Source organism: Homo sapiens, chromosome 14 (genome assembly GCF_000001405.40).
Source record: "Homo sapiens chromosome 14, GRCh38.p14 Primary Assembly".
NCBI classification, from domain to species: Eukaryota; Metazoa; Chordata; class Mammalia; order Primates; family Hominidae; genus Homo; species Homo sapiens.
This window is the reverse complement of record NC_000014.9, coordinates 91,779,256-91,791,596: the sequence shown is the minus strand read 5'-3', so window position 1 is coordinate 91,791,596 and position 12,341 is coordinate 91,779,256. Positions and strand designations below refer to the sequence as shown.

General features: G+C 33.6%; 1 protein-coding gene across 4 annotated transcripts in view; it reads left to right on the top strand.

The window, feature by feature from the left end:
- TC2N (tandem C2 domains, nuclear) overlaps window positions 1-11,851 on the top strand; it is an 87,791-nt gene extending 75,940 nt beyond the window's left edge. For all 4 annotated transcript variants that reach the window (NM_001128596.3, NM_001289134.2, NM_001128595.3 and 1 more), the window contains 3 exons: window positions 3,970-4,084; window positions 6,236-6,435; window positions 8,387-11,851. In NM_001128596.3, coding sequence (NP_001122068.2) covers window positions 3,970-4,084; window positions 6,236-6,435; window positions 8,387-8,497 — 426 coding nt within the window. In that variant the 3' untranslated portion in view covers window positions 8,498-11,851. The remainder of the gene's footprint in view (window positions 1-3,969; window positions 4,085-6,235; window positions 6,436-8,386) is intronic.
- Window positions 11,852-12,341: the final 490 nt, after the last annotated feature.

Below are 12,341 nucleotides of genomic sequence, written 5' to 3'. Positions count from 1 at the left end.
TTTTTTCTGTAAAAAGCTTTATTACCTAATGGTGCTGATTGGGACTTGCTATTTGCTTCTCAGCCAACTGAACACTGTTTTTAAATTGTTTAGGAATTTCTAATTAAATTGTATAGATTGAATGTTAGGATAATGTTTATAAAAATCAGTCTTAAGCTTTTGTAAGGTCAAACCTATATGCGGTTTTAAATTTGTATGGGATTTATATTTTACCTGTTTCCAAAAATATTTAAGGTGACTGGAAGTGCTTCTTAACTCTGGGTATACATTAGAATCATCTGGGAGCTTTAAAAAAATGCCCATACATAAACTAAAAAAAATTAGAATTTTGGGGGATATGGGGCAGAAACATGTATCTACCCTTCCCTTCCCTTCCCTCCCCTCCCCTCTTCTCCCCTCCCCTCCCCTCCCCTCCCCTCCTTTCCCTTCCCTTCCCTTCCCCTCCCTTCCCTTCCCCTTTTTTTTGAGGAAGACAGAAAGCTCTGTAGCCCAGCATGGAGTATGGTACGCAATCACAGCTCACTACCTCCTCCATCTCCCCGACCAAGCAATCCTCCCATGTCAGCCTCCTGAGTAGCTAGGACTACAGGCACACCACCATGCCCAGCTAATTTTTTAAATTTTTAGTAGAGATAAGGGGTCTTGCTATATTGCCCTTTCTGGTATCAAACTCCTCAGTTCAAACAGTCCTCCTGCCTCGGCCTCCCAAATTTGCTGGGATTGCAGGCATGAGCCACTGCGCCCAGCCTTGCCTATTATTCTTTATCTCAACCCCCAATGTGCTGTTCTGTAACTATGACAGGAGTTTGTCACTGGCATTTTTGACACTAGCTTAGTAGGTAGTAATCTGCAGCCATAGTTTACAGAAGGCACAAATAGACTATTCAAATAGATAATTCATATATTAAAACTTTAAAAACAGAGTATATAAGAAGAGAACTCAGGGATTTTCTGGGGAATTAAGATATTATTATCTGCGTTGGAAAATATGAATGAATAATTATGGCTAAATTTCTACTAAATCATATTTCATGTATCAGAGATTTTATAAATATTTGTGTATTTTCTGAATGCCAGGTGCTAGGGTTATAGATTGATAACCTGAAAGAAGAGTGTTTGGGCTATGCTGGACCAGTGAGTTTATGTTAATAAGTGTGAATGTTTCATATTATTGGCTAAAGCAATAATAGTATGCTTTGTTTTAATGTGTTGAAGAGGAAAATAAATATTCTAATAGTGATGTCTAAAGAGCCGTACTTTCCCATCCACACTGACAACTGTTTCACCATGAACAGCACAACTTTCGGGTTTTTACTCAATAAAGAGTCCTTGACCTTGACAAATAGTAATGTAAATAATTACTTCACATCTCAAATTTCGGTATTGAATAATGTGGAAGAAATACGTTTTCCTGAAGAAATAGCTAGCATTTACAGAGATTTATCTTACGGCTGCCTCAATGCTACGTGATCTAATGATCTAATTATCACCGTGTTGTTCTTTATCCGTTTTGTGGAGATCAGGGGAACACTTGCCTGAGGTTATACAGCCAGTAGTTGGGGAGTCAGGATTTGAATGGAGGCAGTCTGATTCCAAACCCAGCTCTTTTAACTCTACCATGTATTGCCCCGCTAAGAAGATATTCTCAAACATCACCAGATCGTGATGTTCTCTAATGATGCTCAGCATTTCATTTCAACCCTTCCAGGAAGGCTAACAATGTTTTCTTTTCTGAATAAAAGGATACATTATTCAGGAGCAGTTTTGTGCTTATTAAATGCAGGCAATACATAACTGCTAATTGATTGGAATTTTAATTTTTTGGTTATTATGAGATTTAAATAGTTTAAATCTTTGAATAGTTTTTCATGATCTGAATTAATGTCCTGGAACATGAATTGAATTTGTGAAATAACCTTGGCAAGTAGGAAATGGTAAGCCTATTGCCAAATGCTGCTCTGTTTTTTTTTTTTGTTTTTTGTTTTTGAGATGGAGTCTCTCTCTGTCGCCCAGGCTGGAGTGCAGTGGTGCAATCTCGGCTCACTGCAAGCTCCGCCTCCTGGGTTCACTCCATTCTCCTGCCTCAGCCTCCTAAGTAGCTGGGACTACAGGTATCAGCCACCACGGGTGGCTAATTTTTTCTTTTTCTTCTTCTTTTTTTTTTTTTAGTAGAGACAGGGTTTCACCGTGTTAGCCAGGGTGGTCTCGATCTGACCTCGTGATCCGCCTGCCTCGGCCTCCCAAAGTGCTGGGATTACATGCGTGAGCCACCGCACCTGGCCAATAGTTTAACTCTTTGAACAGTTTTTCATGATCTGAATTAATGTCCTGGAACATGAATTGAATTTGTGAAATAACCTTGGCAAGTGGGAAATGGTAAGCCTATTGCCAAATGCTGCTCTGTTTTATGAGAGTGAACTCTACAATTGTGTAACAATAAGAGACGTTTTGCCACCTTTACGTGTTTTCATAAGTGTTATTACATTGTGGGTACAAAACTGTAATAAAAAATAATAAAAAAATTTAACCATGATTTCCCTTGTGTTTTATAAACAGTATGACTCTATCTTTTAAAATATATTTTTTAAATGCCAAGGACAGCAATTTTTTTTCAATCAGCAAAGGTTTTTTTTTTATGGCTACCAAATTAGTTCATGTGAAAAGTTGTTAGTTCATTCTCATTCTGATTACAGTCAAAAGCAATAAATTAACTTATTTATTAGAAGTCAGCATTTGTTGCCAAATAACAAGTTTTATCATCAATTTAGACCTTTTCAAGGGGAAATTAAATTCCAACAGTTGAGTTTGTACTTGTTAAGCAATTCACTTTTCCTTTTCTATCTCTTCATTTCTTATGGCATGACTGGTTTGAAATACAGAATCATATTTTAAGAAAACACCAAGCTTCTGTCAATGTTATGTATATGGAGAGGTTGGAGTTTTTGTTGTTTTTTTGTTGTTGTTGTTTTTCCCAATGAGCTATGAGCCAGTTATTGGGGAATACTGAGCAATGTCAAATATAAATGTCTTCATCAAGTGTCATTCAGTTGTTCTGTAACTTTATTGGAATCAGTACTAACAAAGACTTTGTGTCTGTCTATGCTGAGCCCTAGTATGATCTGTGAACATTATGTTCCTACTTTATTCCTATTCTTACTCTTTTCAACATGTAAACAATAGTGTTTTTGTGTTTGGACAACCATTCTCCCTTTTATTTTTCAGTCCAAGGACCTTGGAATCCACCTAAGTAGTCTGGCTTGTGTTGTATTTCACAGACAAATAACCAACTTTCTTCTGCTGTTGGTCAGCAGTACTGAAGAACACATTTTAATTTTTCCTCTTCTCTAAGTCTCCTTCATTTTGCCGTTTGCCTCAGGTTTTCTTTGACCTTTTCCTTATTATTTACTGCCTCATCACTTTGACTAGCTTCCTTCTTGCCAGCTTTCTTTAGCTTGCTTCCATTCAGCATAGTAATTCACTCTTAATCCACAGATCTGTTTATTGCTGTCTTCTGATTGTGGTAGCACCTACTCTGATCTCCATAATTAGAAAATAATGATGATTTTCATATGTAACTTTTTAATCATATTTCGTGTGTTCTCTAAAAATAATTTGACTACATTTAGTTGTTTTGAAAGTGTATTCCTTTTGTGTTAATTTCACTGGCATTTTCTTCAGTGATACTGCTTATTAATTTAATTTGCTTTTAATTTGAATTGGCTCTAGGTGTCACAGATTTTGAAGTTTCAGTACATAGATATAACCTGTATTTTCAGAAACCATGCAAATGAGTACTTTAAAGAATTCATGATATTTATCTTCATAACTTTGTCTTGTAACTTATAGTTTTGAATATCATTTGAAAGGAATACTTTCAAAATTTCTAACCTTAGCTTTTTATCTTTTAATTTTTGAATTGTTTCAAAAACTTTATTCTTAACTACCAAATGACACTTTTTTGATATGCAGGTTTGCCATGCAGAACTTGAATTGGGGACTTGTTTTCAAGCAGTAAATAGCAGAATTCAGTTACAAATTCTTGAGGCACGGTACCTTCCAAGCTCATCAACACCTCTGACTTTGAGTAAGTATATCAGTGGTTCAAAGTAGAATCTTCAGAAAGTATTAGTAATAGAAAGTATTTTTTTTACATTTCTTACAATGGAGATTAAAATCTTAGTAACTTTTATTATTTAACTTATTTACTTTAAATTTAAAATTATAAGATTTCAAATTTTAGCCATTGTGTCTACCTTAATACAGTGGTCTCTTGAGTGTTATCCAGTTATGACCTCTCTGCCTTTGATACTGTTTTTTATTTAGCTCATCAGTTCATACAGGTTGAATGTCTAGAGGATTTTCAGTTATATTTTACCACCTGAAATGATTTATCCTCTCTCTAGGTCTGTGCCCTTTGTGGAATGCCCTGCTAACTAGAAACTTAATTGTAAAAAATATATATATCAAAAACAAACCTAGAAACACTTTTCTCTCCCTGTGTTTTGTCTACAACCAGGAGTTGTGATACTTTGGTTGTCTAGTCCCAGAGATTTGAGTGGGCAGAAGTGCCCCTTTTCCCTACTAAAAGAAGGGAACTGTATGGGGGCAGGCAAAAGCAATGCATGTTCACCGTAACTAGAAAGACTAAAAATAAATGAAACTGAGCATTCAATTCAAGAAGCTAGAAAAACAACAAACCCAAAGAAATTAGAGTAAGGTATTAAAGCTAAAGTTGAAGGTGACAGATATGGAGACAACCACAAAAGGCATAATCAATAAAACTAAAAGCTGCTTCTTTGAAAGAATCATTAAAATAGACACATCTATAGAAGGTGAGATCAAGTGAAAAAATAGAGAAAACATGAATGATATTCTGAGCAATGAAGAGGATATAATTTCAAATTCAGAAGAGATTCTATCATGTATAAAGCAATACCATATATAGCTATACCGATTTATTTGGGTATCTATGTAAAATAAATGACTTTCTGAGAAATTCAGCAGTTGAAAGTAGAATCTTAAGAAGAGGAAGAAAATCCGAATAAAAGAATAAGCATGAAAAGGTAGTTAAAGAACTGCCTCTAATAAAAGCACTAGACCAAGGTAATTGTACTGGGAGATTCTACCAAATTTTCAAGGAACATGTAATTTCTGTTGTATATAAGCTGTTCCAAAGCATGAAAAGAAGATGGAAAAAGTAATTTTGTGAGGTCAGCATATTCTTGATACTAAAACAGAATGGATAGCACACACAAAAAGTAATTATAGACTAATGTCACCTGTGTAGATAGATGGAGAATCCTAAAAGAAAAATGAGCAAATAAAACCTAACTTGGAATAAATCATCAGAACTATATATAATTAATTCTAGGAAACAAGGACAACAGATGCTGTTTATGACGGGCTTCCCTTAAAACAGCTTATCAGGATGACCACAACTCTTCATTCTATCAATCTGACGGTCGGATCTCAGCCCTCACTGTGGCTCCCACCTTTCTGGGAGTTCTCACTTTCTTGCTTCCCTGGCACCCCAGCTCTGTCACCTCCAATTAGTCAGACTGTACTTTCTGCTTGAGCTGTAGGCACTGTGTGTCAGTCAGATAGGGGAGTATGCTTAGGTGAAAAGCTATATCAACCTGAATTTTACCCAGTGAAGTTCCCGTCTTTTACCAGTTGACTTCCCTCCAGTTTCTTTCTGCTTTTAGTGTTTTAAAATTTTTTTCCAAAGTTTATAATAGTTGTTTATGGGAAGGTTAGTTTATACAAGCTATTCTGCCATTACTGGAAGCTCTATACATCTCAAATTTAAAGTACAGATTTTATCTAGTGGGCATATACTTAACTCCTGGAGTCTTTTATATTTTACCTATATAATTGTGAAATAAATACCTCCAGCTGTCCAAAAGATTGGTACCTCTCTTTAGTGTGATCCTTTTCAGTGTGCACTCTTTTACTGTGATTGTTGTTTATGCCTCCATTTCCAGTCTTTAATGGCATTCAGCCACAGAAAGATTAAGTTCATTTAAAGTTACAGTAGTAAAGTATGGCCAAAGTTATAAAGTTGATTAGAACTGTTTTCTGTTATGGTCGTAGCTCATCAAACATTTAAAAGTGACTTATCTATATTTTTTACAATAAATGTTATATATATATATTCCAACTTGGATGTGTATATACACATCTTTATATGGTATTTTGAATAACATTTTATAAACCAATATTTCTAATTTTTTAGGTTTTTTCGTGAAGGTGGGAATGTTTAGCTCGGGAGAGTTGATTTATAAGAAAAAGACACGCTTACTGAAGGCCTCCAATGGAAGAGTCAAGTGGGGAGAGACTATGATTTTTCCACTTATACAGAGTGAAAAAGAAATTGTTTTTCTCATTAAGCTTTACAGTCGAAGCTCTGTAAGAAGAAAACACTTTGTGGGCCAGGTTAGTAGGAGTTTTTATCCTTCCTTATATTTTTCTATGCATTTAAACAGTCAGTTAACAAAGGGAATACAGGATAATATTAAAGTCAAATAGAGTACAGTTCTTCAGCATCATAAATCAAAATTCAATTGCTACAAAAATCGAAACTTGTCAGACTTTTTGCTTTAATACAAATAGTTGGAATTTCTGAGCAATCAGGTTTATCTTTAAATATGTTTTTTTCTGAGCTTTTTTACTTCAAAAACGATGAGAATTATCAATTTTTCAGTACTACTGACTTGTTCCTTGTGGAAGGAGGGAACATTAAGTATTTAAATCAATTTCTTAAGTCTTCGAGTATCAAATTTATTTTGTTTAATCTTTGATTTAATGTTTAACATGGGCACTTTTTATATTCTCTTACCTGAGTTAGTTTTGAATTCCTAGAACATGTCCATTTTAACAGTGGTTGTGATATTATTTAGTTAATACTACTGTCTGGATTATTTTAAAATCTTGGTACAATTTGTATAAAACAACATAACACTTGTTAACTTGCCAGTCCTCTAGGAACTTGTTTCCTTTCCTTACTCTGAATAGACTAGTGGTAGCTGTCCATTATCTTTTACCTTAATTACGATTGTTTGAACCACATTTAAATTCCAAAATCTATATTATTGGTTTAAAAGCTTCAACTTGACAAGATATTATTAACAGTCTACATGAAATCCTCAAATTATATATGAATTTTCAAACATTGATATCAGCTCCTTGATTTACTTTTTAATATATATTTTTACGTAAAATACTAATTAAAATGTTGTTTTATCATTTATTATTTGGAAAAGAGCTTGAATTTAAGAATTCATATAACCAGCATAATTTTGAAGACCATTAAGCCTTTATGAAGTCAATTCAGTTAAAGTTTTCGTATATCATCGAGCCTCAACTTAACGGTATGAATGGAATAGGAAATTTACTTGAGATGATTTTCATGATAACATTTGTGGTGATTCCATTCTCTTGGCTAAGATTCTAGTTAGAATAATAATTCTGGAAAGGTTCTTGCTGGTCATCTGCTCCGTATGGCTTATCTGGTATAGCCTTAGGAGGAACTATGATGGGGTAGCCAAAGGGGAACTCAAGGTCTTCCACCCCTGTATCAACGAAAGTACTCTAATGTCTGTTTTACATACTGGGATTATTTGTAAGATTTCATTTGAAAGGAAGGTTCTTTAGACCAAGAAAGAAAAGGAAAAAGGTTGAAACCAATGACCTGCTCCAATCTCTTAGAAACTGAATCTCAGAGAAGTTAACTTCAAGGTAAAAGCATTTGTTAGTGCTAGAGGTAAGATGAAAATTCAAGTTTTTTTATTCCTTGTCTTCATAATAATATAATTATTGTGATGTCTTTTGTACAATTTGCATAATACTATGTATACATTCACATGTAGTATTTAAGTTACATAAGTGATGGGTACTATGAAATTACTATTGATCAAGAATGACTATTAGATTTTAATTAAGATTACACTTTATTTCTTGTAAAAGGTGATTTAAAATGCACATTCCTTACCAATCTAATTTGAATCATGATTAGCCTCAGTTTAATTATCCTTACAAAAATATTTTTGAGTGGTTGGGATCAGTTTTAAGTTGAGCTCCTAGATTTGTTGAATAGGAAAGGATACTAATAACTGTTCTAGGGGAAATGATTTTGTAATATTTCACCTTGAATTTTTGAACTGAACCTTATAAACTAGTCTTCAGAATGACTAAGCAGGTTAAATGTTTTAGCATTTAAATGTCAAATAGAGAAATCAATCTGACTTTTGGAAAAAAGAAAGATGTTTAATTTAAAATATGTAAAGCAAACTTCCAAATTTCTTCCATCAGTAAGAGTAACTAACTGTCTGAATGTAGTTATTATTATTGTGTCAAGTTAAATGATTGTACATACTTTCCTTTACAGATTTGGATAAGTGAAGACAGTAATAACATTGAAGCAGTGAACCAGTGGAAAGAGACAGTAATAAATCCAGAAAAGGTTGTTATCAGGTGGCACAAATTAAATCCATCTTGAAGACTTCACACATTAATTTGGTGAAGAACTTGACATTCTTTTAGAAGACTTATGATTTCAATTTGCTACCAATGAGAAGAGGCAAATCAACAAATTTGTCAATTTATGGGGGCTATAATTATGGTATATAATGTATCTGATAGAAAATTTGATAAGAAAATGTAATGAATTTTATCAGATATCCAAAGTAAAGGAAATGTTTTAAAACTGCAACAAGAGACACAGACAGTAAAATCAAAGTATTATTAGGATGACTAAATAAATTATAAAGTCTGTGAGAATATCAACCATAGATAGTTCTTTCTATATTATGTTTTCGCTTTTGTATTTTAAGCTTTACTTAGATATTCAAAACCTGGTATATCAAGTCTCTGTTAGTACTATTGGCATTTAGAAGACTTTACCATTATTTCAGTGCTAGGCATTATTGATTAGGTCTTGGCTCCACTGTTTACCTCTTGCTATGTATTTTCTCCCGGTAAAAATGAATTGAACCATTTCAACTATTTTCTATATTTGGAGAAAGTTTGTGCCCTGTGTTTTATAATTTTTTTACCCATAAGACATCACATTATCCCTTTGTAAGCTACTTATCTCCAAAAAACTTCAGAAATAGAAAACTACATTTTGGCAGGAATAATTGAAAACACCAGAAGGTTGAAGTTTAATTGGAAACCCAGAATATACATACTTTGCTGTTTTCTTCCCTCAAATATTTTACTATTTGTTTTATTTGGAGTTAAAATAAGAGTATCATCCATATGGTCCATCCTAATTCACAGAATTAAATGAGCTTAAATAGAAAATTCAGTATTTTATGATAATCACTTCGTTTTTAGTTTTTAAAATTTAGATTATTCTATAATTTACCGTGTTTGAGTATTTTCTCATTTTTTTCATAACCATACCTGATTATACTGTGTAACAAATATTTTCTATTGCAGTTTTCTTTCCAGTACTTATTAGAACTCAGTATTTGGAAATAATTTCAGCTTAATTGACCATAAGAACTGTGGCCAAAAAGAACAGTTTTTTGGAGAGGCAGATGACATTATACCTGATTTTAGAAAATCTCACTTTATTTTTGCTAATAAGTAGACTAAGTGCTCTGTGTTCTCAGTCTTCCCTTTTTTTCTGCCCCCATTCTTACTTTGTCCCAGGCATGCAGAGAAAGATGGTGATATTTTAGGCCAGGAGTATACCTTGCTATAACCTAAGCATGCCTTCTTTATTCCAGCTCCTATGTTCTGTGTATATCATTAACATTTTCCCAAATAAACACTTAATTCTCTTTTCCCTAGGTGCCATCTCCTCAAGCTACAAAATGTCCACATCTTATATCCCCTTTGCTTCTACTGCTCTGATTTTGTGGTACCAGTACTCTCTGCCACTGAACATTTTGAAATATTTTTGTTTTAGATTTGCAAAAAATGACATATAGGTCAGTACTCACATGGATTTTTAAGATAAATCACCTGTGTGATAATATTTTGAATCTGAGACGAATACAACTTTTAAAAATTGTTTTTAAAAATAGACTTTTTTTTTTAGAGCAGTTGTAGGTTAACAGAAAAATTGAGAGGAAGATAGAGATTTCCTTTCTCCCCTGACAAAGCCCTCAACAGCCTCCCAGGCTATCAGTATCCTGCACCACAATGGTACATTTGTTACAATCAATGAACCTACTCTGAAACATCATTATCATCCAAAGTTCATGGTTTACATTAGAGTCCCCTCTTGGTGTTATACATGCTAGAGGACAAATATATGATGATATGTATGCATCATTATAATATAGTATAGTTTCGCTGCCCTAAACATCCTCTGCAAATGCAACTATTTTAATGGGTACCAAAGAAGTAAATGTATTTACTGGCTTTTAGATAATAAATAACGGGCTTTATTGTTTATTTTAAAAGCTACAATTTGTTTTAGCTGGTTTCTCTGTTCTATTAATGCTTTGAATTTCCAAATTTAATATATGTAGTCATGCATTTAACTTAATATTTAATTATTTGATTTATTTAATTTTCTATATTCTTACAATGTATGTATGATGTATAATTTAAGGGAAAGCTATGACTTCTCAGTTTCTTAGAATCCTAGGTAAATAAAACAATAAAAAGAAAACCCTTACATTTAAAAGAGCTTTCAGGTACAGAAGTATTGATACAACTAAGATCCTAAATGTTTTAATTAGTGTTTACTTAAGCCTTTTTCAGGTGAGGAGGTACTAATGCTGGTTATTTCCTTGAAGCTTTATGTGGACCTATAAATAAAAATCCAATCTCCTGCTAATAGGTATGCATATTGTGAGAAAAACGTTAGGAGCTGGTAGTAAAAAATGAGATTCTATGCCAAAATAACTTCTCTTCATATTTGCCTAGGCATTTCTTGACCTTTACCCACTTACGCAAGGAGAAGGAAATCATAATGATGTCATGTGATCAAAGGAAACCATGGAAGGGTTCACGCTGATAGCTGATAGCTTTTACAGTGCTCATTCCTAACAGTGGATTTACTTGTAAGCTTTCAGATCAACACAAATAGCTGCAGCCTGGGTTAAAATATAACATCACTATTTGGCTTTTGTTTTGCATGATTTTTAAAAGCAGTACTCCTAGGGAAATGGCCTCTGAAGTATATCAGTTTCATCTCTTACCAAGACTGTTAAGAAGAAACTAGTGGGATTTTGAACAAGTTATATAATTGTGGTCTGAAAAGACCCTAAACTGAAGTTCTGTTTAAATATAGTTACATGAATTTCTCTGATACTAATGTACTCAACAGCCAGGTATAAACTATATCTCCTAGTAACATTTTCCATTTTTGTTTAATCAAATACTTGCTTATGAAGGATTTCAGAAATTTGTAATAAATGTCAGCTTTTGATAGCATAGCAGTAATTGACATTTCAAAAATATATATTTCTTTCTGTGTTTGGTTGGGTGTAATGAGGAAAATACCTGATAAAATGTCTGAAGACACTTTCTAATGTTATCTTGGTGCATAAGCTGTAATTTTTATTCAAAATTAAATTTCAAATGTTTGCAGTTTTGGCTAAAACATTGAGTTGAAAGAATTATGAAAAGTGGGCCCATATGAAGTACCATGTTCATTTTGAAATATAGATTTAAGATTTAGAAATATATTAAAAGAGTTAATGGAGCCTCCTAAATTGGATTTTATTTTGTGGGTGAAGAATTGTAGGAAGATGAATGTGGCCTACAGTTTTAGTAATCTCCTAGTGGAGTTTTTTTTAACTTAGTACTTTTTTAGTTTTAAGTTTTTTAATCTATAAAAAATGTGATTTCTATAAACCATGATTACAATAAATAATTATATTAAACTGTAGGACTCTCATAATGGCAGTAGATGTCTAGAAAGAAAGTTCTGGGCTGGGGTACGATGGCTCATGCCTGTAATCCCAGCACTTTGGGAGACCGAGGCGGGCGGATCACAAGGTCAGGAGATGGAGACCATCCTGGCTAACACAGTGAAACCCCGTTCTCTACTAAAAATACAAAAAATTAGCCAGGCGTGGTGGTGGGTGCCTGTAGTCCCAGCTACTTGGGAGGCTGATGCAGGAGAATGGTATGAACCCAGGAGGAGGAGCTTGCAGTGAGTCGAGATCGCGCCACTGCACTCCAGCCTGGGTGACAGAGCGAGACTCTTGTCTCAAAAAAAAAAAAAAAGTTTTGTATGTCTTCTGAAACAATAGAAAGCTATCTGATTCTATGTTAAACTAAATCACCAAATGAGAATATGACTTTTAAATGGTGATGATGTTTATTCAGTATTGATCTTCATATTCTATGCTGTGGGATTTGTTTCTGGGTCATCC